Below are 27911 nucleotides of genomic sequence, written 5' to 3'. Positions count from 1 at the left end.
CAACTGATGGCGTGACCGTGAAAACGCACTGTGGATCAGTATATTAAGTAACACTCATAAAATAGTATGTAAAATGATTCCATGGGTGTGATGACCTGAGTAGATGCATGGACATTTTCAGGAAGGATTCCTAATAGTAGTTACCTCTGCGTAACAGAAGACATACTTTCACTTTTCACTTTACATTCTCTTATGTTTAGATTTTTATTTAAGTGTACTTTTTAAAAAGACTAGTTTAAAAGTTGTTTTATACAGTCCAAGGTGATAATTTATTGTAGTAGTTTTTTTTTAATTTTATTTTTTGAGATGGAGTCTCCTGTCACCCAGGCCGGAGCGCAGTGGCTCGATCTTGGCTCGTTGCAACCTCTGTCTCCCGGGTTCAAGCGATTCTCCTGCCTCAGCCTCCCGAGCAGCTGGGACTACAGGTGCACATCACCATGCCCGACTAATTTTTGTATTTTTAGTAGAAACTGGGTATCACCATGTTGTCCAGGCTGGTCTCGAACTCCTGGCCTCAAGTGATCTGCCTGTCTTAGCCTCCCAAAGTTCTGGGATTACAGGCGTGAGCCACTGCACCTGGCCAGTTCTAGTAGTTATTAAACCATGCATTGGAAGACCCTGCTGGAATATAAGATGCAGAGCACAGAAAGAAAACTAAGTGAAGAAAGAATTGTTTCGGAGCCTTGTAAGGAATACTCACGTCCTCCTTCTCCAAGCTGGGCTCCCTGAAGTTGGCAATTTCATCAAAACAGTATCCACTTAAAAGTACCCTTAACTTTTTCTTCCAAAGTTACACAGTAGCCCCAAGTTCTACAATGCCCACTTCATGTTTTCCTGAGGCACCCTGGAGACGCCAAAAGCATTTGAGAATGAACGGGCCTTTTTTTTTTTTTTTTTTTCTTTTTTGAGCCCAGGCTGGAGTGCAGTGGTGTGATCTCGGCTCACTGCAAGCTCCGCCTCCTGGGTTCACACCATTCCCCTGCCTCAGCCTCCGGAGTAGCTGGGACTACAGGCACCCGCCACCAAGCCCGGCTAATTTTTTTGTATTTTTAGTAGAGAAGGGGTTTCACCGTATTAGCCAGGATGGTGAACATGCCTTTAATGCAGCCTTGAACAGGAATTGGCCAAGCCTTGCCAACTTGATAAGGAGCAAAAAAGGCTCTAAAGGTGTATGGCTCCCCAGATTTCTGGAGGGCATCCAAATGAATGAGAACAGGGCTGCAGGTAGTCACCTGCAGCATCCTCCTGGGCACGATGACAGAGGGAAGTGTCTCTACCAAGATCCATCATGGGGGACAGGTTCCCATAGCCCCGGACACACAACCTAAAAACCGTGGTTCTGTGGACCGACACCCGTAAGACCCTAGAGCTGGAAAGGCCCACCTGTGAAGGTCATTCAGCACTCCACCACCCACCCCCTACCAGTACAGCTGAAAGCTCTGGACCAGCGGGTGACAGGCTGATGCATCTGACATTTGGGCGGAGACCTTCCCATGACAGCAGGATGCCTCAGGTGCTGGGACCACTGCTGCCTCCCTCCTTTCTCAGCAGTCGTCTATGTTCCTCTGAGACTGCTGGCTGAGAAGCCATCAGGTGGGTTCCCTGATGAGACTGACACCCTCTCTGCTCTGCTGGGAGCCTTCCAACACTGCAGCCACCTACAGTCACATGCATGCCTGCCACCTCCCCAGTGGCCTCTGCATGGAATCTCCCAGAGAAATTCCACGTTCCAGGAAGGTTGTGCATCCATTAATTTTCATTGTTATTCATGGGGAAACCCAGTGCCAGGCTTCTTGTGGACCATGCAGATGGTTTTTCAGCCCAGCCCACAGCCCTGCCCTGTGGGTAGTGGGATTCCCCGGAGGCTGGTGAGGACAGCTGCAGCAGAGTCCTAAGCAGACATATGGGAGAGGTCAGAGAACTGGCGAGCCTGGGCCTCTGAAGCAGAGAAGCAGAGGACATTCAGGAGGTGCAGTGTCTGGTGCTACAGAGGCTGAAGAAGGCCAGAGTTGACAATTGGGATAAGCAGCTTTCAGCTACGTGGGGCATGGTGGGTGGTGCAAAGGAAGGGGTACAGACAGCCCAGATAAGAAGCTGCCTGGGAAAGAAAGGGAGGGAGCCATAGGGCCTCGGCAAGTTTTTAGGATGGGAAAGGAAGGCCAGCGATAGGAAGACGGGACAGGAAAAATAACGTTGACAAGATCCTGAGAGGGGGTGGACCAGGGTTGAGGAGGGGGTACAGGAAAGACCCCAAGGCTTTAAAGTTAGCATGTGCATGGTGAGGTGAGAAGAGGGTGCAAATGCCACAGCTGGCCTCCAACCAGGGAAGGCGGGGATTCAGGACAGGCCAGTGCTAGGTGGGGAGTGCACAGGAGGCCTGCCCTGTGCCTCTGTGCGGACAGCCGATGCTGGGCGGAGACTGCCACGTGACCGGCTCTCATCCTTGCTTTCTTTCCATTCCTCATCCAACTATTCAGAGTCACATGATATGGCTGAGAACAGCCAGAAGGGTCTATAGTTGAAAGATAAACCCAACTCTGCAAAAATCGCACCGAGACTTCATCCTAAACCAGGTCTACAGGAATAGATGGGTCAGGCCTGCAGGAGCCTTCCAGGAGCTCTGGCAGGGAGGGTCTGTGGCCACCCACTCCCCCAGGGGAGGCTGGGTCAGAGGCATCTAGTGAGGTGGGCACTGCCACCAACCCCCTTCACAGAAAGGCCGGCACACCCAGGACACACAGCTCATGCAGCAGCAGTGCCCAGGCTTCAATCCCATGTCCCCACTTCGACTCAGTGTCCCCAAGCTCTTCTGCTTGGATCAATAAATAGTATCGCACAGGGGTGGACAGAAATAACCTAAAACAATGTTTCCTCTAGACCTATGGAGTTGAAGTTTCTCCAGCTCTCACTTATAGCGGGGGATAAACCACAAGCCAACTTGTGCGGCTGTGGCCGGCACACAAGGGCAACTGAAAGTGCTGCCATACAGAATCTTAAAAAAAAAAAAAATTACTCAATGAAATGTAAGTCAGATTGTGCTGATGATGGACTGCCTTTACCATCCATCCTTCTGTAAGGTCTACATACCCTATCCCTTGGTTCCTCTGGCAGCCGCGTTTACCACTGAGATGCTTAGCAATATCTCAATAGTGACCCCAAACAAAAATGACCAAAACAGCATTAATATAAAGATATATTCCATAAAAGAGTTTGGCAGTCAAAGAGAAGCATCACACTTCCGAAAAACACAAGCATTCTTCTCCTAGTCTACAGAGAATTGTGTAAAAAAAAAAAAATCATCATCAACAGCCACCAGTATACACCACACTAGAATGTACACTCCGGCAAGTAAATTAAGGTTGCAGTCCATCCCTGAACGATGAGAAGTGGTCTGAGCTATGGCAAAGTGTTAGAAAGTAGCCCAGCTAGACAAATGCCCCAGCTATCCCCAGGGGAGTTATTCAGTACTTAAGACTTCATTTCCAAGAGCAGCCCCAGAAAAGCCCTGACAGGAAGGGTGGACCAGTGATCACCGATATCCCATTAGGGGCGGTCACCAGAAACAAAATGCCTGGAGCTTCTGAGCAGCTGCAGCCTGGGGTTGTGGCTAGGCACGGGGTGTGGTTGCAGAAGAACGGCTGTCTCCGGGGAGAGGCAAATGGCAGGCCAGCCAGCCCTGGGTACATGGCCACAAGAGGAGCCCTGGCCAACAGTTTCAGGCTGGCCATCTTGGGCTGGGGCTCCCTGGGCTTGCAGTGGGGAGGGTCAGGATTCAAATTCTGGGTGACAATTTCAGTAGCACCAAGACCAGAAGACAGTGAGGCCACGCTGGGGAGTGGGGGAGTGCTTGTATGTGGGATGCATGGAGGGAGGCTGCAGTATGTGGAGGAGAAAGAGAGGCTGTTGTGGGCTGGTTCTTAAGACACTCAAGGGGACTCAAAGGGTCGGCTCCAGCCATGGACACTATCTAAGGCTGCTCAGAGGAGAATGCTGGAGGAGAGGAAGAGGAAGTGAAATGGTGTGAGAACATTCTTACCCCTATAAATAAACTATTTACACACTTTAAGAAAAGGAGAGCCGGCTCTCAGTGAAGAACCATGCCCACCGCGCCACCGGCGCCATCAGGGCTTAATGCTATCAAGACCAGAGGCAGTTCCGGCGCCAGGAGAATAGCTGGTGGACACAGGGGGACAGTGGACAAGGCACTCCCGTGGCACCAGTCCACGCACTGGCTCAGGCTTACTTCACTTGAACATGGCTGAGGATCCTGCAAACAACCCCTGATATGTGCATGTCCCAGCAGACTGCGCTGGCACTCAGAGGCCCAGCGGGGCCACGTCCGCCTCCCGTTACGGGCAGGCCCCCATGCTGCTTTGCTTGATGGAGAGAGATGCCCTGTCCACGCCTGTGGGTCCCTCTACCCACGGCCCACCCACAGATGTGGATGACCCAAAGCAGATGTCTGGATGCCAGTGGAGAGGGGACCAGGGTGTCCTGCAGACATGCTTGAGCTGCAGGGGGTCTGAGTCAAGCCCTCCTGGCAGCCACAGGAGCCCTCTCTGTCTTTCAGAGTCACCACTCCCACATAAAGACACATTCTCTGTCTCTGGGTAGACTCCAGAGGGATGCAGTCACAAGTTTGGGCAGGTAACAAGGGGGACCCTTGGTCTTCAGCACCAGCAAGCAGAAACAGAGAGGTCACGTCACGCTGATGCTTAAGATGGGGCACTGGCTCTGGGGGTGTCGGCTCCTCTCCCTCTGGACGTAGGGCTGATGGCAGAGAAAGGCTCTGGCCTCCCAGCGTGGCTCAGCTCGGCTCCCTCAACTCTGCTCCTCAGAAGTGATGGCCGGCCTTCACTGCCTCGATGTCTGAGATCAGCGTCCTTGCCAGGAAGATGCCAAATATCTGAAACCAACACCAGCAGAGTCAGCGGCCATTGCTGGGGCCCAAAGGCAGAGGGCAGGGAGCGGAGGGTGGGGTTGGGAGCTCCCACTGCACGCCTCTCCTCACCCCCCAGCTGCGACTGAAGACGTAGAGACAGCACCGCAGAGCGAGTGGCACAGCACAGCCACCCCTCCCGCAAAAAAGGGGTCCTGGGGTCTAGTCTGTTACATTCCCAAAGCCTAGAAGAGGCAAACCACAGGCACCACAAGCAAAACAGACACTCTGTCCTGCCTCCAACATGATTAAGTATGTCACAAGCCATGGGGCAGGACACGCCTGTCCCTGGGTTAAACCAAAAATAACAGGGTCACGCTGACTGGTTCTCATTCCCAAAATAATAAATCTTGAATGTTTCCTGTAAACGTCGATTCCATAATAAAACCAAGGCCATCCCCAATTTTGGCTGTGCTAATAATGTCTGAAGATCCATCCCAACCTTGGTGAGCAGGGAAATCATGAGAGGAGACTGATGTTCTTCTAACGTGAACAGATGAACACGAACTTGGTGACCTCTGGAAATGGCTTTTTTTCCCTTTAAATTCTTGTGTGGTTCTAATTTGACTAGTCAGTCCTTCTGAAGTCTGATTCTTCCCTTGCCTATTTTGCAAATAACTTTTTTCTTTCCTTTTCCAGTTGCTTCCTCCTATTTCTTAGTCTTCCTTGAAGGAGGAAGGCATGTGTGGGTGGCTGGTGGCCCTGGGTCTACCTCAGTCACCCTCTTCAAGGCAAAAACAGAGTCAAACACTTTCTAAATGGTGTTATTTTCCACACAAGAAATGCATCAGTGGACCCAGAAGCTGCGGCTTCTTGGAAGCCCTGAACAGCACTGGAAAGACTCCTGGTTTCTCTGATCACTGAATTCTTGACTTTCTCTGCCAGTTCTTCTCCTAGCAGTCACCAACCAGCCCAGTCACCCCAGGCCTCACTGCCTGCTCAGCCACCAACATCCTCCCACATGTGCAACCTGGTTCAAATGAACAAGCACAGCCTGGGAGAGGAAAGGATGCCACAAACGGCAGCAGGCCTCAGAGGATGTCTCATGGACAGGGAAGATACCTGACAACTCCAGCCCAGGGGCCAGAGACAGGAGGAGAGGTCCTGGGGCAAGTGCACACACGTGAGCCTCAGGCCACCCTCAGGCCCCAGGTGACCAAGGGTTTCACCTCCCCATCTGCAGCACTTGATGGCCCACCCCGAGCACACTCCTGACCTACCTCCAGATAGGCAGTGACCCTTCTGCAGCCCATTGGGCCCTCTGGAGAGGGCTGCCACCAGGACCTGTGCAGGGCCACAAGCCCCTCCCAGCCTGCCCCCGCCCAGAGGGCCCCCCTATAGGTAGCGTTTATGGAAGCCACCATTCTCCTCCCCAATACACTTACACGCATACACTCTCTCAGCCTTGGACATCCAGTTGAATCCCTTTTTTTCTTCTGCAAGCTTCCTTAATACCATACCCAAACTGGACCCATGCACTCTATGTTAAGGGCCCAATCTCAAATGAAAAAAGGCCACCTGCCAATCCTATAGGCTCCTGGGACACACCTGCAACAGCGAGATGGCGATGAAGACGCCAGCCACAATGTAAATGTTCCGCGGGAGCCAGCTTTCCAGCGCCTGGATGCAGCCTTTCGTGAAGATGGACTCATCCCACTTGCTCTTCAGCTGCAGGAAAACACCACAGGGGTCTGAGCCTTTGGCACACACGATGTCCCCACCTGATCCCCTAGTGAGCTCTGGTAAGGAGCAGGGCAAAGCAGGGTGGGAACGAGGGATCCAGGAGGCAGGCAAGGAGGACTCTCCAGGAGATGCTCGTCAGCTCCTCTCAGCCTCTGCCCCTCGCTGGGCACTGTGCCATCGCACCACCTGTCTGACCAAAGGCTCCCTGGCTGTTTCCTTTCAGGTCTCCAGAGATTTAAAGCCCAACTTTCTCAAGATACCCTTCCCCACCATCCACATCTGGAGAAAGAGAAGGGGCTTGAAGGCTTGGAGGAAAATGTGCCTCTAAAGGGAGAGAAACCTGGAGAAGGGGGTCCAGAGTCTCCTAAGAAGAGAAGAAGGGTGCTTCTCGGAGCGGGCATCCCACCAGTAAGCTCAGCTCCAGGAGACAGAGCCAGCAGGCAACAGTCGCCAGCCAACCAGCTCCCTCCACTGCTAACCCCGGTGGGGTGTCAGTAACCATCCCAGCACACACCCCAGCCCTGCCCACCCCACACAGGGCAATCGGCCCCAGCCCCCTCACACCTATCAGCCTCCTCCATGGCAACATGATGGAGTATTAGCCCCTAATTTTAGAGGTGTTAGGAGCTAAATTGTGTCCTCAAAATCCATACACTGAAGTCCTAACCCCCAGGACTTCAGAAGGTGACTGTATTTGTAGACAGGCTCTTTACAGAGGTAATTATGCTAAAATGAGGCCATCAGGGTGCCCCCTAATCCAATATGAAGAGCATCCTGCTAAGAGGAGGAGATCAGGACACAGACATGCACAGAGGGGAGCCCACGTGAGGACACAGGGAGAGGACAGCCACCTGCAGCCAGGAGAGAGGCCTGGAACAGACCCTTCCATCACAGCCCTCTGAAGGCACCCACCTCACCTCGCCAGCACCTTGATCTTGGACTTCTAGCCTCCAAACTGTGAGAAAATAAATGCCTGCTGTGGCTTAAATTTCTGTCTGTGGTATGTTGTGACAGCAGCCTTAGCAAATTAATATAAGTGGCAAAAAAAATCATAATTAGGGAAGCTGATGTTGATATAGGTTCTTATCTTAGTCCATTCAGGCAACTAGAATAAAATACTATAGATTAGGTGGCTTATAAACAACAGAAATTTATTTCTCACAGTCCTGGAGGCCGGGAAGTTCAAGATCAGGACACTGGCAAATTCAGTGTCGGATGAGGGCCCACTTTCTGGTTCATGGATGGCACCCTCTCACTGTGTCTTCACACAGTGGAGTGACAAATAAGCTCTCTGGGCCTCTTACATAAGGACACTCATCCCACTCATAAGGACTCTGCCCTCATGACCCAATCCCCTCCCCAAGACCCCACCTCTTAAATACCATCACATTGGAGTTTAAGTTCCAACATGTGAATTTTGGAGAGACACACACATTCAGTTTACAGCACTTTCTCCCTGTGAAATGCAGGTCCCTAAAGGAGGACAGTTCCCCAAGCTGTAGGGACACATCCCTCATATCCACGGCTAACAGGTGGGGTCTCTGAAGATTCCTCGAGACTCCTCCCTTTTAGAACAGCAGTCATTCATATCACCAAAGACCACTAGAACAAGGACTGGAGTGGGGTGGGGTCTTCCTTCTCTTTGCATCTAAGAGCACACTCCCTACAGCCTAAAGGAAGTCCTGGAGGACAGAGCCTCGCCCCTGCCCCAGGCCTGCCTCCCTCTTTGTCACTACTGCCTCCACACGGAGGCCAGAACAAGGCACCTACACTCCTGCAGCTGTCCCCTTAACGAGAGACGTCTTCTGGGATGCCAAGGAGCCTCCTAAAAATGCAGTCTTTGTCCCTCAAAACTTCCATCCCACCTCTTTAAATGCAGCAACTCCTAGATGTTGGGACTGCAGCTCACAAGGCTTAGAATCACCATTACTGCTCCCAGGAGTCCTGCCGCCAGCTCAGGAAGCAGTGTATGTGACCCTGTGCCTATGCTCAGCTTAGGTGGCATCAAGAGCTTCACTGCCCTGAGTTTTCCCACTTCAATTTGCACTCGTGCTAAATCAGAATGTTGAACCACAGGGAATAAAACCTAAAGAACTCTTCAAGTTGTATACATGGGAGTTCTCACCTGAATCCTGACATCATATCCACACTGTGTGTTCACAACTTTTTGCTGCAAGAAAAGCAGAAAAATTAGTTGCTTCTGGCGTCTCAAGAAGCTGGTGCTAAGAGGCTCTAGTAAAGTCACAACCAAACACTAGCAAACATTTGTGCAAATTCCATTACAGCTCATGTCCTTCAATCATGCCACCAACTAATCCTTCAGACCAGGACAGGGTGGCAAACTTTCTCTGTGAAGGGCTAGAGAGTGAGTACTTCAGACACAGACTCAATTCCGCTTTTGTTGCATGAGAGCCGGCACTGACAATCTGTAAACAAACAGGAATGGCTGTATTTCAAGAAAACTTTATGGACACTGAAATTTGAATTTCATATAATTTTCACGTACCACAAAATATTATTCTTCTTTTGATTTATTTCCAACCATTTAAAAACATCTGAATGCATTCTTAACTCACAGGTCATGGAAAAATAGCAAGCCAGATTTGGCCTGGGGGCCACAGTTTGCTAGGAGGTAAGACCTATACTTGGAGGTAAGAACTATATGTGCTAAAAGCAACACTTACAAGACTGGTACATTTCACAGTCGCAGTGGAGACCTCAGAAGAGCTGTGCAGCTTCAGCAAATCTGAGCCTCTCCTGGGCTGCAGAACTTGCCCATATAATAGTGGTGATGCTCTGCCTTCTCAAAGCCTGTAACCCAGGACCAGGCTTTGCATAACTGCACCGAGAGCTGGCAACTGGCCCAGTTCTACTCAGGCTCAGTTCAGGCAAAATTCAGAGCTCCTTCACAGTTCACCCCAAGAACCCAGCTTCTGGAACCCAAGGACGTTGGCCTTGGATTGGGAATGCCAATAGGTAAAGAAAGGACAGGACAGGCACAGCGGCCCACACCTGTAATCCCAGCACTTTGGGAGGCTAAGATGGGCAGATCGCTTTGAGCCCAGGAGTTTAAGACCAGCCGGGGCAACATGGTGAAACCCCATCTCTACAAAAAATACAAAAATTAGCCAGGTGTGGTGCTCAAGCCTGTGGTCCCAGCTACTTGGGAGGTTGAGGCTGGAGAATTGCTTGAGCCCGGGGAAGCAATGGTTGTACAGTGAGCTGAGATCGCACCACTGCACTCCAGCCTGAGTGACAGAGTGAGACACTGTCTCTAAAATAAAACCAAACAACAACAACAACAACAACAACAACAAACAGAAAATAATTAGCCGGGTGTGGTGGCGTGCACCTGTAATCCCAGCTACTCAGGAGGCTGAGGCAGGAGAATCGCTTGAACCCAGGAGACAGAGGTTCCAGTGAGCCAAGATCATGCCACTACACTCCAGCCTGGGCGACACAGCAAGACCCTGTCTCAAAAATAAAAGAAAGAGAAAAAGAAAGAAAATAATTCTCCACTACTGTTCCCCAGTTAATGATGTGTACCCACAGCCCCCGTGCACTGTTGAGTTCTAGGAATCTGCTCCAGAAAAAGGACAGGGAAGAGGGATAAGCGGGCCTTATTTCACTCATAGCTCTTGGCCAGCTGCAAGTGACAGCCCTCCAGGTAGAAATAATACTGTTTTTCTCCTGCCTCACCCAGAACACCAAGGCCAGGGTGGGTCATGCAAGCAGTGTTCCTAGAATGTACACATATCGGATTTCAGAGCTGAGGCAGCCTTGAGGAGGGTGTGGAGAAAGCACACCTGCTCCTCAGACCTCCATGACAGAGAAGTATCCTAGAGCACTGGAGGAGTCAGGAAAGCTTCTGGGCTTCAGGAAGGGCGGGCTCCCTGTGCCCCAGCACAAGCCAACTCACCGCAGGATCTGGCACGCAGCAGGAGAAGGGGACCCCGCACTTCTCTCGGCTGTAGCTGGCACCGCTGCAATTGAAGTAGACGTTGAGGTCCCAGTCTTCAGGGCCATATGCGCCACAGCACTGGTTCTGCAACCACAAAAGCCAGAACTGTTAGGGGCTCCAAGACAGGGCCATGGCTGCCCAGCATAGGGCATCATTCATAGTGATGCCAGGCTAAGTCTGCCGGCATCTACCATGCAGAGAAATCAAGGCCCGCCCCCTACCTCCCATGTGCAGAGATGCTAAGCTGGCAACCCAGGCAGCCCTTTAAGAAGAAAACAGCTAGGCGTAGTAGCTCAGGCCTGTAACCTCAGTGACTCGGGAGGTTGAGGTGGGAAGATGGTTTGAGCCCAGGAGTTGGAAACAAGTCTGGGCAACACAGCAAGACCCCCACCCCCAATCAGAAAGAAAGAAAGGAAAGAGAGAGAGAAAGAGAAAAGGAGAGAAAGAAAAAAGGGGAGAGAGAGAGAGAGAGAGAGAGAGAGAGAGAGAGAGAGAGAGAGAGAGAGAGAGAGAGAGGACCTGCCCTTTTGATGTGTTAAAGAAAATAATAACAAAAAGGAAATGGCAGTGAAGGTATCTCCGGGCCACGGTGCCTCCTCTGTCCAACCCACATGGCTGGCTCAGTGGAGCCCTCTGGCCCCACTGCCAGGCACAACATACCCAGCCCTGGCCCTCCTTAGCAGGGAGCTTGCTCTTCTTCCCAGCCTCCTCAAAGGAGACGCCTCCTTCCAGCCTCCTCAGACAGGAGAGTGGCGTCCTCTCCTTTGTGGCCCCCTCGGCACCTTGGTGTGGTCCTCTACTTGCCACAAGAGAACACTTCCTAGTGTGCAGTGTTCTTCCTCCCTGAGAAACTTGCAAGTGAATTCCCCTTTTCACCCCTTTACAAAAAACAGCTGCTAAGTGTCTGCTCCTGAGGAAAAGAGGTCCGATGAAGGTGAAAGGTAACACAATCAAAGCTCTGCCCCACACCTGGGGCCTCTGCCCTCCCCTTCCTCGCATCTGGTGTGGCTACAAAGAAAATCCTTATTTGACTAAAAAGTGTGTAAAATCCAAACACTGAAAGCATCATTGTGAAGTTGACAGTGTCTTTTCCCCTAAAAAACTTCTTTGCATTTGCCCTTACAGCTGACATGGTTATGGCAATAATCACAACAAATGACAACAGTGATTTCTGGTTGGTTATTTTGTTTTGCTTACTTCTCAGGTAAAATTGTCTCCCCCACACCTCCACGGTTCCACTTGCTTTAGTGATTACCTGAAATTTCACTCCAAGGAAGCTCTGTAATTTACTGAATCCCTCCCCTGGGAAGTTTTGTTTTGTTTTGTTTTAATTTATTTATTTTATCTTTTTTTTGAGACGGAGTCTTGCTCTGTTGACCAGGCTGGACTGCAGTGGCGTGATCTCGGCTCACTGCCAGTTCCGCCTCCCGGGTTCACACCATTCTCCTGCCTCAGCCTCCCGAGTAGCTGGGACTACAGGTGCCCACCGCCACACCCCACTAATTTTTTGTATTTTTAGTAGAGATGGGGTTTCACCATGTTAGCCAGGATGGTCTCGATCTCCTGACCTTGTGATCCACCCGCCTCAGCCTCCCAAAGTGCTGGGATTACAGGCGTGAGTCACCGCGCCCGGCCAGAAGTTTTATTTTTAAAAGAAAAAGAAGTCAATGCAGAAAACTATGTTTTTAAGGCAATGCAGGGATGAACCGCAACCTAGCATGCTGAGACCAGGCAAGCCAAGGCTACGTGAAAATGAAAAAAGGACGGTGGCACTGAACAGAAAAGAAAGGAGAGGCATCAAAACATGGCGGGGATTTGGTGACTTTCACAGACTAATACACATTAGTAATAACAATACAGGCAGGGTCTTTGGTCCCATAAATGGGTTTTGCTGGATCCCATAATACATGAAATAAAGGTGAACAAGTTTTGGTTAATAATGAGAGTGAATCATAGATTTTTAATGGTTTCTGATTTATTTTCTTCTCAAAACCAAAGTGTTCCACATGAAAAGTTCTTAAGGAAGCTGGGCTTTCTGTCAGCACACAGATCAAACAAGAGCCTTGCATTGCACAGGCTGACATGGCCAAGGAGTGGGTTCCTCCCCAGGGGGCTGTGACAGCTATGGTCCAAGCGTCCAGGTGCAGCCACACATGAGAGAGATAAGAGGGATGGGGACCAGATGGAGTAAAGGCCATAGCCTGGAACTGCTTAGACAAACCCCTGGGCACATATTCCAGGGAGGTCACATTCCACTAGATCTGACAAAGCTTCCTCCAGGCAGCCCTGGCTTCTTAAACAGGAAGGGGAAAAGGTCCCAGGGAGGAAGGGGAAAAGGTCCCGGGGAGGAAGGGGATAGGAATAGCGTCAGATGGTGAGTCATGAGCCGGGGGGAAGAAGCTGTGCCTTACGGTATGCAGCGCCTAAGGAGGATTGCAGCTGGTATGGCTATTGGGCAGGATTGGAAAGATCTGGGGCCGAAAGAGGAGGGCCGGGCACGTGGGGGGTGGGTGGCCTCGGGTACAGCTGGACTTGCCTGCCCAATCCCAATGGGAAAGGGCTGGCCCACCAGGCAACCACAAGCCGGCAAAGTGGAACAGACCAGAGGTGGAGTGGCTTGTTCCACGGCCTCCCTGCTGTCTGCCAAGCTGCAGGCAGACAACCCACAGAGAAGGCCTGATGCCCCTGCTAGACTCAGCTCCAGGCAGCACAGGGAGGTGCATGCTCTATCGGGGGCCCGCTGGGGAGGTGCTTACAGCTTTCTGAAGGGAGTCGATGAGGTTTTGCAGATCGATATCGTCCCGGTAGGACTTGATGTTGCTCTCGAAGAACTCCCGGAACCGGTCCCTCACCCAGTCCTGGAACAGGAAGGCCAGCACGGCCACAGCCAGCTCCAGGAAGAAGATGAGCACGATGGTGCCACAGAACTGCAGGGGAAGGGGACGGGAGCAGAAGTCACCACCCCACCAGCCTGCACCCCCACACACATAACCCCACCTGACCCAGAACCACCATCCTCAGCAGAGCGTGGGCTCTGCACCTGAGAGTCCCACATCGGGGCCCCAGAACCCCACACTTAGAGTTAGCTGGGTGACTCTGCACAACTTCGCTTCATCTGTAAAAAGGGGCTATTTATCCCTACCCATGTCACTGCATTGCTGATAACACTCAAATGCGTGAAAAAGTGTGAGAAAGCTCCAAGCCAATGTGTCAATCACTTGCTATGAAGCAGCCCTCCTCCCTGGACAAGGAGGAGACCCCTATCACAGGAATGAATGGCTGTCCTACCCCAGCAGTTCCACCTGGACCCTCCAGGGTGGCATCCTGGGGTGTCGGCTCCTTTAGGACAGACACTGTGCCCAAGACATTATCTGATGACTCCCCACTACACACACAAAACCATCGAGTGCCTACGTATCTGTTACCTCACTTTAGGGATGAGGAAACTATGGCTATGTCACGAGGTACATAGCTTGCCTGAGGTCACATAGTTCATGCAGGACATGTGAGTTCCCTGCAGGGCTCTTTACAATTCTGGAAGTGCCAATGTTATCTGTACCAACTCTGCATGAAAGTATATGATCGTCAGCATAAAGACCCCTCCAGAAGCTCAGCTGCCCCAGGCCACAAGCAGTGGTGGCATTCTGCAAGGGGCCAGTGCAGCCACAGGTCCACATCCCATCAGGGCAGACTCCCAGCCTGCAGTCTGCGCTCTCACAGACATTATCACTGGCCATATAAGACACTAAGCAGCTTGCCACAACCGGCCAATTTGGAGTAATCTTTCAAAGTAAGAAAAAGCATACACACGGCCGGGCGCGGTGGTTCACGCCTGTAATCCCAGCACTTTGGGAGGCCGAGGCGAGAGGATCACAAGGTCAGGAGATGGAGACCATCCTGGCTAACACGGTGAAACCCCGTCTCTACTAAAAATACAAAAAAAAATTAGCCAGGCATGGTAGCGGGCGCCTGTAGTCCCAGCTACTCGGGAGGCTGAGGCAGGAGAATGGTGTGAACCCGGGAGGCGGAGCTTGCAGTTAGCCGAGATCACGCCACTGCACTCCAGCCTGGGCAACAGAGCGAGACTCGGTATCAAAAAAAAAAAAAAGAAAAGAAAAGAAAAAGGAAACACACATATGCACACAAGGCCTGCCAAAACGTAATCTCTGTTCATATAAAAGCAAGATGCTAAACATAGCTTTTCTTTTTTTTTTCCAGAGAAAAAATTAGGACAAAAAGCCCATAGTTTTGCTTTTAAAATTATGTCCAAGAAAAAGAAAGCTTGATCTAATGAAGTCAACAAACAATATACTGCAAAATATGATAATGTGTTTTCCCCACCAGGTGTTATTTAACTGAATAAATCTAAACATGAATTTGTATCTAAATATAAAACTAAACTCTTAGTAATCTGCAGTTCTGCCAGGAAATTTGGGATTCTGACTTGTACATCCAACAGACTCACACATCCTTGGAGGAGGGAAATGATTTAAGGTTACTTGCAACATCTTTTGATCTTAGCCAGGAAGGGCAAAGGACAGTAGCAGACAAACAATTCTTTTAGAATTTCTGAAGGAAGATAAAAGGCAAAGGAGCGGGGAGTAGAGCTGGCCTATAGGCAGCTGGCTCCTCCCACCCAGGGCTAAAAACCAGAGGGTACCTAATTCTCCTGCTGGGAGGAACCAGCTTCTCTAGACAGTAGAGTGCAAATGGCTGCCTCCTGCTCCCAGGCAGGGGCCTAGGGGAGGCTCCTAAGAGCTGCCACCTGCTCTGACCAGGTAACATATAATCCTGCCCAGCAGAGCCTGTACCCCATTGCATCCTATCCCACTCTTGTCTCTGTGGCCACTCACAAAGTTGAGCAAGCAGATATTCTCCCGCAGAGCCCCCACGCAGCCGGCGAACCCCAGGGTGAACATCACCACGCCCACCATCAGGACCAGCACCACAGGGTCGATTCCATGCATCCGGGTCACTTTGGTGAGGTCGGACAGCACACCCTGAAAGAGACAGAGAAAGCAGGGCAGCACTGGCCCAGAAGGGGAGTCAAGGATGCTGCCCTGGGGGATGCAGGTGGTACTGAAAACAGGGACTTGCTTCCCCAGGCTCAGCCCTCTTGTTGACAGCCAGGCCAGAGTCCGGCCCCATCCATGCCCTTAGGGGCCCCTCCGACCAGGCGATCCCTGCCCACCTCAGGTCCCAGAAAGTGTTCCTGGCCTCCACCTACGCTACAAGTTCCTCCTAGGCAGCCACCAGGCTTCTTCTGCAGCCTGTGGGGTGCCTATTCCAGGCCTGGAGGGAAACGGGGCCCTGTGGCCTGTGGTCAAACTGGTCACCCAGGTGGCTGACCTTGTTAGTCCCCCAATTTGGCACCTAATTAATGAAGAACACTACTCTTCTGAGATGAAAACAGCCTCAATATGAACACTCTAGTAGAAAACACGCCCAAGGGCAGGCCAAAGCAATGCTGTCCATAGAAGTTTCTACACCAATGGAGGTGTTTTAGACTATACCCCCACTGTCTGGCCACAGGTATCGTGGAGCACTTGAAATGTGGCTAATGAGACAGAAGGACTGAATTTTAATTTATATTCAATTTCAATTTAAATATAAACACAGTCACACAATGGGCAGAGCAGTTCCATAGGGTTTGTAAAACGCCAAGGGGGAAGCTAAGCCCTGGAGACTGAGTCATGTAGCATGTTTGCAATTCTGTTTCTTAGATTATGGTTGAACTAAGGGACCGGAGAGACCACAGCCCCCCTTCCAGTCACTGATCTCTGTTATAGTTTAACTGCTTCCTTCATTGTTCTTTACTAACTCAGATCAGATATCATCTAAGACCCAGGGACAATTACATCTTCAGTGTGGAATGTTAAACATACCTTTCCTGAAAGAAAAAGACCGCCTCAACTAATCAGAACATTGTGACTAAGCATCAAGACATACATAGGTGTCTGGGCATGGCGGCTCACGTCTGTAATCCCAGCACTTTGGGAGGCCGAGGAGGGCAGATCACTTGAGGCCAGGAGCTCAAGACCTGCCTGGCCAACATGGCAAAACCCCATCTCTACCTAAAAATACAAAAATTAGCCAGGCATGGTGGCACATGCCTGTAATCCCAGCTATTTGGGAGGGTGAGGCACAAGAATCTCTTGAACCAGGGAGGCGGAGGTTGCAGTGAGCCAAGATCCAGCCACTGCGCTCCGGCCTGGGCAACAGAGTCTCTGTCTGGCTTTGGCTGGATAAATGATCCCAAGCTCCTACATTTCGAACAGGAAGGCTGACTTCCATTCTTTGGAATTTGTGCTTCCTGGGTAGGCCTGTCCTCAACATGTGTGCTTGAATAAACTCTCTCTAAACTAGGTTCTGGCCTTTTCACTTATTTTAGATCGACAGATTCAAAGGAATTGTAGTAGCCAGCTCCACACTCAGGGCCACACCCAGTTAGGCGGCTGCAGTCCCAGGGGAAGCCACACGGTGGTGCTGTGAGGCACAGATTGAACCTGCTTCTGGGTCACTGGGGCAAAGGGACATCGTACCCCAGCTCTTGCCCTTTAGGGGTTCACAGGCCACTTGGAAGGTGCCCAAACCTGAAGGTGGGCCTTATCCAGTCCCTAAGACCATGGCAGGAAAGCCTGTAGACCTAGGTTCTCCTGCCTCCTCCTGCTGGAAGCAAAGGGAGGTTCCACTGAAGGAAGAAGGCCTAGGCTCAAGACACTAGAGGAAGCTTTATTCCTGGCTCTTTCTGGCCAGGCCTGCTCCACCTTACTGCTTCCCTCCCCTCCCCTCTTCCCTCCCTGGCCTTTTTCAGCCCTCACTGCCTCCCCAGCACCCCTGCCACAGGGCAACAAGCAGCAGCACAGCCCCACCCTGCCCATATCCAGTCTCATCCCCTTCCTGGAGCCGCAACTGCACCATGTCCTTCCCGACAGTAGGAGCCAGGTCTCCACTCCTCCCCTCTCCTCCTGAGGCTGGGCAAGGAGGCCCAGAGGTGCTTAAAGGCCCACCCCTGCCCCACAGGGCACCCTGGGGGCATGTCACCCAGCCCCGCTCCCTGCTGCCTGCTCTTTCTCATCCTGGAGGATAAGGGCTTCCACAATAAGCATGCCTGTATTCAGGGACCTGCCCGCTTGCTCCCAGAGGCACAGACAGGGTCAGGAAGCTGGATTGCCCAAGCCTGCTCTGGGCACAGCTGCATACAAGAGCTGAGCTCTCCACATCCACAGGGCTCAAAACCCAACCAGCCCAGCCCATACCTCCAGCAGCCAATACTATCATGTGGGCAGAGTACGCAAGAGCTGTGTCTGTAAAGATTGACAATTATACACCTTGACACTGCACAAGAAATGCTTGTTGTCAGGGAACAGATTGGAGGAGGGAAAATGAAGTCCAACGAATCTGGTTTTGGCTGCCTGAAGCTCAGTGTCCTGCGACAGTTACACCTACCTTTTCGCTCCATGCCCACAGCCCGACTCCAAGGAAGACAACTCCAGCCAACTAAGCGGGGCAGAGGAAAGAGAGAAGGAAGTTAGGTTGGAAACCAGCACTGTGAACATGCTTCACAGAGCAAAGTCCACACTGCCAGGTAGGGCATGCTCCTAGCTCACATCCCACATGGCCCCTCAGGCCCCGCAGATGACAGATAACCTGAACCTACCTTCCTGAATATCTGGACAAACTCCTTCAACCTCAGATGACCCTATGCCCCAGGGAAGGAAGAGGAAAAGATCTCAGAGCGGACTCCACCCTGGAGAGACTATGGGTCACAGACATCAGGCTGTGCTGCTTCTTCCCCTTTCTGCAACCCTGAACTCATTTCAGTGCACTATCTGGTGTATACGAAGACATCACCCCTTGGGAGGGCTGACCCAGGTCCCCTCAGAGGTTCCCAACACAGGATGAGACTGCATAGGACCAGGCACCACCACAGGGTGAGGACAGGGGGAAACAGCCCAGCATCTCTGCCACACACCCCAGCTCTCCAGCCCTGGAGATAGACTCCAGGCACAGATAAGCAGCTATCCAGTGGCCCAGGCCATTCACTGGCCAGGGCTGAGCCTCCTCCCTACTGTTAACTACAATGAGCAGGGGGCGCATCTATGCTCAGGAAAGGCTGGGCTTTTAGCTAGAGAATGAAAATAGGCTTGCTCTAAGCAATGAGCTCGCCCCAGAGGAGCACCACCCCCAACCCCAACTTCCCACCTGCAGGAACCCATACCCCATGTGCACCACAACAGAAAGGCGCCCACCCAAATACATCACACAGGTTCCTGAACCAGGGAGGGCTTTTCCATATACAACAAAACACAACGTGGGCTCTGTTAATAAAGCTGCCTCCTGTTTTTCTGTGACTACTTTACACCACACTGGCATTTCACTGCCATTTATCACCATCTCACGATAAATAACAGGACCACGCTTCTCTATGACTACCGGTGATCTCAAGCCTTGAGCCACTTCTACCTATTTTACTCAGTAACTAGCCCCAGGGGCTAGAATGGAAAGAAAGGGCTCAAGGAAAGCCCCAGGAAGTCTCATCCAACCTGAAAGTGATCTGTGATCCAACCTCTTCTGGATCACAGATCACTTTCAGAAAATGCACACATGCCCAGTATTTTGCATGAAATTTTAGAGGGGTCACAGCTTCCCACTGCTGGCTCCCACAATGGTCTGTGAACACTAAGTAAAGAACCCCCACCAAGAACCAATCCCTCCATTTTACAAAAGCAGAGCACTGGGGCCCAGGGAGGGCCAAGACCAAAATGTCAGGCAGTGGGGAGAAGGGCTGAATCACAAGTCTCAGTTCATTCATTCACTCCTCACTCATTCATTCAACAAATATTCACGGAGTACATCCCGAGTGCCAGATACCGTCTCAAGTACTGGATACAGCACCAAGCCAAGGGGGTAGAGCCCTTTCTACCATATCACACCACACCCTTTTCCCGCTTCTCAGTCCTCCCCCTGAACTGACTAGCTGGGAAGGGTTTTCCTGATAGAATGCATGACCGCTTCCTTTCCCTCCCCAGGTGTCTTACACTGGCATGCTGAGCAACCTGAAGGTGACTGGTCACCACCTGCCGAATCCTGCAGGCTCCATCCCCACCCATCTTATTCAAGGCCCCCAGGGACCTGCCTCCCTCTTGCCAAAGCTGGAGGCCAAGACTTTTCCTCATGGTATCTGACCTCATTGGTCACAGCTGGTCATTCTCTCCTCCTCCAACCATTCCACTGACACACCCTGCTTCGGGGACCCCAAGCATATGCCCCTGACTGCCTTCCTCCCTGCTCTTCCTCCTCCTCCTCCTTCAGACCCCTCTAGATGCTGGTGGGCCTCACTCACAGTCCTAGCTCCTTCACCCTGCCCTGAGCCCTCTCGATGATCTCATAATTCACAAGGCTTAAATACCATCTAAACATTGCTGAGTGACACACTCAGATGTCCAGTCCTGGCCATGCCCCCGGTCAAATACCCTAATGTCTACTTTACTTGTCCTCCTAAGACAGCTAACGATATTTTACTCTTACTGTGCCCCACTACGCAGCCTTGGTCCCCCAACCCCAACCGAGCTCCCCCCAACTCTTCTCCGTCTCATTCAGTGGCACCACCGTCCACCCAGCAAGTGTAAGAGAGAAAACCCAGACCCCAGGCTTGGTGCCTTCTTTCTCTTTTGCCCTACACTCAACCCAGAGGACCCTCTGCTGGTTCTGCCTCCAAATACACAGTGCATTCGACCAGCTTTCCTCCAGTGTCTCTGCTCCCACCTGCCCCGGCTCCACCCACTCGAGTCTGGATCCCACGGGGCTCCTCACTGGTCCAAGCAACAAGACTGACCCTTCAAAAATACAGAGCTGGGAACTCCCCTCCTCGAAACTCTGCAGTGACTTCCCACGCAGACCTAGAAGAAAATGCACGGTCTCTCCCATGGCCCCCAAGGGCCTCTGCAGCCAGGCTTCACACACATCTCCCACGGCATCTCCTTCCCACCTCCCTGCTCCAACGCCACTCCCTGGGCCACCCTGACATTCTTGTTTCTTGAAGTCATCAAAATCACCCCTGCCTCAGAGCCTGGACACTGTTCCCTCAGCCGGCAATGCTCTTCCTCCATATCCATTCCTGGCTCCTCCCTCACTGCGTTCAAGGCCTCCTTTTACCACCCTGAGTGGAACTGCTCCCCATCCTCCATGTGTGACCTCCTCTGTTGATTTTCTTCGCGGCACTGATCCCAGACCACAGGGGCTGTCTCTCTATTGTGTCTCCCCAGCTAAGCCCTTCTGAGGCCAGAGATGTTACCTGTTTTGTTCAGAGTTGCAGCCCAACAACGAGGAGGGCTTGGCCCTCAGTAGGCACAGAGCAGGCATGAGTGACTCCCCAGGATTCAAGACCAGGACAGTGCTTGCCTGGGTCCTTCTAGCTACCCCCAGGCACACTTCTGGGTGTGATTCAATCCAAAGGCATTCAGAGCAAATGTGGGCCAAGAAAAGCTCAGCCTGGCCCAGGTGCATGGGTCAAGCTCTATACAGGGGCATTTGCCTATGGTCAGAGCAGAACAAGCCCAGAGGCCGATGCCCCATCCAGCATTCCCAACAGACATTCCAGCCCCTGCCTAACAGCTTTCCATGACAGTCCGCTCATCCTGTGGGGCCACATGGGACAGGTGAGAAAAGTCTACCTTAAGGACACTCAACAAAACCACTGCTGGAGCTCCCCTCTCTCCTCCACACTGCACTTCACAGCTCACCCCTTCTCTCACCTTGACTACTAAGTCTGACTTCTAAGGGTATTGTTTCCCACATTAATACCAGCCTCAGGCTGAGAACAGTGGCTCACAGCAATTTGGGAGGCTGAGGCAGGAGGATTGCTTGAGCCCAGGCGTTCAAGACCAGCCTGGGCAACATAGCAAGACCCCCATCTCTTAAAAAAAAAAAAAAAAAAAAGGTTTTCTAAAAAAATTAGCTGTAAAAAAAAAAATGCCTGTATTCCCAGCTACCAGGGAGGCCGAGGTGGGAGGACTGCTTGAACTTGGGAGGTCAAGGGTGAGATTGCACCACTGCACTCCAGCCTGGGTGGTAACAGAGTAAGACCAGGTCTCCCAAAAAAAAAGAAAAAAAAAAAAAACAGCGTCAGTTCCATCTATATTAATAGGTTTCTGTGAATTCACGCTGAGGTGCTGTTTTAGTTGTTTTGTTCTCCTAGGTGACTAAATAGTGACTAAATAGATACAATAGGAAGAGGTGACTGGTTTCACAAAAGGAATTTTGGTCTGCACAAGTTCTCAAAAAAGACCCTCGACCTCAAGAGCAGTTCATATCCCCACCCTCAGGGGCACAGTGCCCATGCAAAGGTAGGCCTGCTCCTGCTCACCTCTGTTCCAATCGCCCCTTCCCCACATGCAGGGCCGCTGTAGGGCCGCTTACCGCTCTGCATATGGCCCACAGACCACACCCTCCCTCGCTTGCTGTTCTTCTCAAGGCCCCCAGGGAAAGCCCTGGCTGACTCTGTGTTTACTGGGGAAGCCAGCTCCCCACCACTGCGTGCAGTTCTCTTTCTCTCAGCTCTAAGAATAAGGACTTGGCCAGGCGTGGTAGCTCATGCCTGAAATCTCGGCACTTTGGGAGGCCGAGTGCTGGGAGGCCCAGCACTTTGGGAGGCGGATCACCTGAGGTCAAGAGTTTGAGACCGGCCTCACCAACATGGAGAAACCCCATCTCTACTAAAAATAAAAAATTAGCCGAGCGTGGTGGCACATGCCTATAATCCCAGCTACTCAGGAGGCTGAGGCAAGAGAATCACTTGAACCTGGGAGGTGGAGGTTGCGGTGAGCCAAGATCACGCCATTGCACTCCAGCCTGGGCAGCAAGAGCAAAACTTCGTCTCAAAAAAAAAAAAAAAAAAAAAAAAAAAAAAAAGAATAAGGCCTTGTGTTGTTTTCATTCTGTTTTAAAGGAAGAACTAAAGTTAACTCACACCGGAAAGACAGGAACTTGGGGATCACATGTCAGATCATGGGTTCAATGAACAGTGGCCCAGGGCAGGAACTCTGAGTACCAACAAACCTGGTTTCAGAGACCAGGAGATTGAGGGAGGACTAGACAGGGGAAGTGATCTGCCTGAGAGCTCACATAACGGTCCCATGAATGAACTGGGTCATTGGCCCGCTTCACCCCACGGAACCCTTCCCTGGAACTCTGCAGCAGATGGTCCATGGGGCCAGGCCAGGTAAGCCCTGGCTGCTGTGAGCCCTGGCTGCCAATCTTCTGGGAGTGAGGGTTCAGCTGAGTGCCCTCCAGCCTCAAGTGACCTTCTTTGTCTCCCTCCCATGACCTAATTGAATTACCTACTGAAGAACGGGGCCCAGCTCCGGCCCAGCTTGAGGAGAGGCCAGCCTCCTCTGCTGGACCAGCGAGCACCTAAACTGCTATGGTCACTGTGAATAGCTGCCCTTTCCTGGGAGCTGTGCGCTGCATTAAATACTTAATGGACCTAAGGCTATCCCTCCATATCCCATAACTCTGGCTCAATTACCCTCATTTTTCACATGGGAAAGCTCAAATGTAGAGCAATTTGGTCCTTTGCCCAAGGTCACACGGCTAGCTGGTGGCAGACTTAAGAACCAAACCTGGATGCCTCTGACCCTGGCAACACAGTATCTTACCACCCACAGAGCAGCTGCCTTCCACACACGGGCACTCACACAAGAGCCCGGGGATGTAGGAATTCCACAGGGGGGCTTTGGGGTTGTGCAGCTCTACAGCCAAATGACCCACACTGTCAGGCAGTGAGACCACGCTGTGTCCCAACCAGGGCAGGTGGACAAGGCAGCAGGGCCTCTTTGTGGGTCACTGTGAAGATTAAATATTGACCTTTCACCTTAGGCAAATGACCTTGCGAAAGGCAGGAGGTCCTCTTGGGGCACTCTGGGCTGGTCCAGCCAGAGTCCAGACACAAGAAATCCACTTACCACACGAGCAAGCTTGTGGTACTTTACCCAAGCACAATCAAGTCACAAAAGGAAGTGACACCCGGCCAGGCCCTGCTGAACTGGAGGAGAAAGATGCAGCTCCAAGCAGGTCAAAGGCAGCCTCTCACCCATGATTTAATGGCCTTGGCTCCTTGCAAGATTTCATTTAAGCGTGTATAAAAGTACTTGGCAACTCCTGCAGGCCCCAGAGGCCTTTCCTCAGCAAGATCAAGGCGAATCACCAGCAGCAGGCGATGCTCTCAGGCTCTGCCCTGCTGGCCTCCGGGTCTTGCACAATCCACACGCTGACTCAGCCTGACATTCACAGAGCCTCTTCCCCTGAACAAAGCCGGCCCTGGGTCCAGTCTCTGCTTTGTAGCTACCTAGTGACAGGGCCTCATGCGAGTCCAAGACCTTCTCTGAGCCTATGTTCTCTACAAAACAGGGATTATCTTTCCTAGGTCACAGGAAGGTTGTAAAGATTGAAGGAAGATCCTACGTGACATGCTTACTCCAGGCACAGAGCCAGTCTCAAGGTGGCCATGCCCTCCCGCACGGCAGACAGAGCAGAGATGTGAGGGGCGTTCAAGGATATGCCACAAGCATCTGCTGTCCTGAAGACAGAGTCTCCTTCTCTTGACACTGGTGTTCTGTACCCCACCCCCAATTACTTCCAGCACCAGCTTCTGTCCTAAGACCAAGTGCTTTCCAGAGGCACCTGTTTTACTGGGCTTCTGGAGACAACAGTGAAGCAGAGCTTAGGGAAATACGGCCTTCTGGAGGCTTTTCAAGTGAGGTAGGAAAGGATGATGGAAAGAAAACAGCAGAGAGTGGAGGAAGCCAGGACTGAGTCTCAGCTTTGTCCCTAACTCACAGAGTCAGGGTCTCGAGGAAGCCATCCCTCTCCTGGGCCTCAGTCTGTCAATCAGCAAAATAAGCAGCAAGGACCCATGCACCTCCCACTGGCTGAGTTTTGCCATTATAAATTACACCAGACGGAAACCCCAGGGTCCTGGTACTCTCCAGAATAAGAAATCCTGAATCCAGGCCTGGGGCATTCAGGAAACAACAGAGATGCTTGTGGCCACTTGAAATGCTGACGATTGAATAGAATTTGAAGCCAAAAAGGACCAGAGGGTGCAGACCCCAGACCCAACCTGGCCTGAGAGCCCAGTGGGCCAAGGGAGGAGCTGCAGTTATCTGTCCTGTGTTGAAAGCCTGAACCAAGCCACTTGTCAGTGGGAGTTCGGAAGGTCTGGGAGCCAGAAGGGATGCTAGGGCTCGGCTTCCTTATGACAGAGGGAAACAGAGCCCAGAGCAGGAGGTGCCTTGCATGGGGTCACATAGCTATCACACCCCAGCTTTTCCTCCTGCCGGAAGGGTGGTTCTGAGAAAAGGCAACACATGTGCCCTCCCAGCAGAGCCAGCAAACCCATGTGAGGGCCCCAATGTGGGGAAGGACTGTGCAGAGGGCTCCAGGGGCAGCTTCCACAGCTGTCTCTGTGTTGCCAGATAACAGAGTTGACCCCCACTGAGCCCCGCCCAGGAACCTGAGTCAAGGCCCTGGAAATGAAGGCAGGCGGAGGGAGCACAGCCATTCAAGGGAGGTGATAGGCAGTACCCCCAGGAGAGAGGGAACCCCCCAACCTAACTTTGGCACAGTTCACAGTGATTAACAGTGGGTAGAAAATCAAGATACTAAGGCAGTGGTCAGCATTTCTGTAAAGGGCCAAATAGTAAATATTTTCAGCTTTGTGTGCTGGATGATCCCCGTAGCAATTACTCAACTCTGCTGTTATAATGGGAAAGCAGCCATAGATAATACATAAATGAATGGGTGTGGCTGTGTTCCAATAAAATTGTATGTGTAAAAACAGGCGGAAGGCCAGGTTTGGCCTGCAAGCCATAGTCTGAAAAGCTCAGCTGTAAACTATCACACTAAAACCATCTGGACCTGGAGAGGAAAGATGGGATGTCATCCTGCTCAGCCACACAAAGCCTGGGATACCCTATACTCAGGTCTCCAACACTGGTATGTTTTTATATCACTGTAACAGGTCTTAATAGCCTAAAACTGTAAATAACACAAATTATATATCCCCACAATAGAATATTACACAACAAGAATAAATGATCTACAACTACGTATAACTGCATGAATGAATCTCACATATGATATTAAATGAAAGATGTCAGACACAAAAGACTTAATACTGTTAGGGAAGAATACTTAGTAGAAAAACTATAACTAATATCCAATCAAAAGTTACTAGATAGGCAAGAAAAGGAAAGAAGTGAGCTATAAGAGAAAAAATTCAGTAAATAGAAGACACAAGAATGACAAAGAAGATGAAATCCCAACAACTTCAAAACAAGTATTGCAAATATGTTCAGGAATTTAAAGGAAAATATAAATAAGATAAGGAAAGAAATTGGAGACATAAAAAATACCTAAATGTAACGACTAGAAATAGAAACTACAATATTAGAATTGAAGACTTCACTAGATGGGTTTAACAGCCAATGAGACAGTATGGAAGAAAAGATCAGTAAAGCTGAAGACAAAGCTATGGAAACTAAAGGAGAATGGTAAAACACTCAACAAAATAAAAAACTAAACCGAGCCTCTGTGCCCTAGATAAACAATGTCCTAGGGAAATGGGACAGGGAAGGGGAGAAAAAGGGTGTGCGTTTGAAAACATAATGGCTAAAATATTCCAAATCTGATGAAAACTATAAACCCACAAATCTCAAAGGCCCAATGAACCCCAAACAGAATAAACACAAAGACAACTATACCAGCATGTATAAAATTGCTATAATCCAGAATAAAAGGAGAAACTCTTGAAGTCAGCCTGGAGGTGGGAGGAGACACAGTTCATAGAGTATGCATATGCGAACTATTTTTACCAAATCAAGTGAAAACATATCAAAATGTGTGGGATGCAGAAAATGTACAGCTTCAAATATTTATATTAGGAAAAAAATCTAAAAATCAGTGATCTAATCTTCCAGTTTAAGTAGCTAAGAAAAAGCAAAATAATCCCAAGTAGAAAGGAAAAAATAATAAAAATAAGAACACCAATCAAGGTGAATGTGAATGTACTTAACGCCAATGAACTATACACTTAAATGGTTTTAATAACAAATGTTCTGTTACGTATATTGTACAATTAAAAAATAAGAAATTATTTCAAAAGATTTTTAAAAAGTAATTAAAAACAGAAAAACAACAGAGACACTACCACCTAACTAAAAAAAAGTCAGATACCAAAGAGTTTAATTTATAGCAACAGGAGGCAGAACAACCATCACCCAGGGAAGGGGTAGGGTGGGGCAGGCATGACTGTAGGGGCACAAGGAAAGTTTCTGGGGTGATGGGAATGTTTTATATCTTCATTGTGATGATGGTGATTATGTGGCATGTACAGCTGTCACTGAACTGTACAGTTGAAATGAATAAATGTTATTCTATCTAAATCAGACATCAACAGAAGTGATCATTATAAAAAGGATTTCCATTAAAGAAAAAAAGTACAAACAAGAAAAATCACTCCTGTAGACTATGCCATGCTGATTATTTACCAGCCAAGGAGGCAGAGTTATACAAGCACACCAAACTACTTAAGACTTGAAAGTACGTGCAAGCATTTAACAGTCCTGTGTGCCAGGCAATAATCTCAGAGCACCTTGAACATCCCTTCCTCAGTAATCCCAACTGGTGGTCCCAGCCTCACACTTGCCTAAGTTGGGGAAATCAGGGGCTGAGGCCATGCAGGCATCAGCACCACAGGCCACTCCTTAAGTTCTAGTGGAGTTTCTGATTAAGCAATCCCTGCCCTCTGCCTTGGCAAGCCTAAATGATGAAATACACACATGTACATACACACACACACACACACACACACACACACACACACACACACAGTGCCAAAAGACAGTCAACTTCCTATGAATTGGGGCAGTCGTTCTGGGGATGTGATTTTGACTGTATGTTCAGGCAGGTCAAAACAATGTACACACCTTGTGACCCAATTAATCTCTCCTGGGAATCTATCTCAGCAAATAATTTCCCTCCCTTCCCTAAAGGGAAGAATGCGTATTACATAAACTAATCACTGCATCCTTATCTAGGATAGCAAAAAAATTGGAAACAACCTAAATGTCCAATATGGGAATTTCTAAAAATACAATTGGAAAGATAATGTTGCAACCTGGAATGTTCTATATTAGTAGATGTTCTATATTAGCAGATGCTGATGTGAAAATGCGTATCTTAAGACTGCAAGGATACTACTCACAGGATATGAAACTGTGTGCCTGCAGACAGGACGCTGGGGCATGGAAGAGGAAATGCAGTAAA

General features: G+C 50.3%; 1 protein-coding gene across 9 annotated transcripts in view, besides 2 other annotated features; it reads right to left on the bottom strand.

Moving 5' to 3' along the window:
- Nucleotides 1-179: 179 nt before the first annotated feature.
- TSPAN14 (tetraspanin 14) overlaps nucleotides 180-27911 on the bottom strand; it is a 68322-nt gene continuing 40590 nt past the window's right edge. For 8 of the 9 annotated variants that reach the window (NM_001351267.4, NM_001351268.2, NM_001351266.2 and 5 more), the window contains 7 exons: nucleotides 18033-18083; nucleotides 15437-15583; nucleotides 13340-13510; nucleotides 10542-10667; nucleotides 8748-8792; nucleotides 6488-6607; nucleotides 180-4906 (listed from right to left, as the gene is read on the bottom strand). In NM_001351267.4, coding sequence (NP_001338196.1) covers nucleotides 4835-4906; nucleotides 6488-6607; nucleotides 8748-8792; nucleotides 10542-10667; nucleotides 13340-13510; nucleotides 15437-15583; nucleotides 18033-18083 — 732 coding nt within the window. In that variant the 3' untranslated portion in view covers nucleotides 180-4834. The remainder of the gene's footprint in view (nucleotides 4907-6487; nucleotides 6608-8747; nucleotides 8793-10541; nucleotides 10668-13339; nucleotides 13511-15436; nucleotides 15584-18032; nucleotides 18084-27911) is intronic. The other variant, NM_001128309.3, reaches the window with a different exon arrangement.
- Nucleotides 22684-22978: a silencer, noted in NCBI's record as "tiled region #10623; K562 Repressive non-DNase unmatched - State 6:EnhF". NCBI's record gives its function as "represses a minimal TATA promoter and a strong SV40 promoter by Sharpr-MPRA in K562 cells {active_cell/tissue: K562}" and the evidence as "EXISTENCE:reporter gene assay evidence [ECO:0000049][PMID:27701403]".
- Nucleotides 24494-25457: an enhancer, noted in NCBI's record as "H3K27ac-H3K4me1 hESC enhancer chr10:82257110-82258073 (GRCh37/hg19 assembly coordinates)". NCBI's record gives its function as "activates a minimal SCP1, AML or CMV promoter by ChIP-STARR-seq in naive H9 embryonic stem cells {active_cell/tissue: H9 hESC(naive)}" and the evidence as "EXISTENCE:reporter gene assay evidence [ECO:0000049][PMID:30033119]".

Source organism: Homo sapiens, chromosome 10 (genome assembly GCF_000001405.40).
Source record: "Homo sapiens chromosome 10, GRCh38.p14 Primary Assembly".
Lineage (NCBI taxonomy): Eukaryota > Metazoa > Chordata > Mammalia > Primates > Hominidae > Homo > Homo sapiens.
This window is presented reverse-complemented; position numbering and strand designations above follow the sequence as displayed.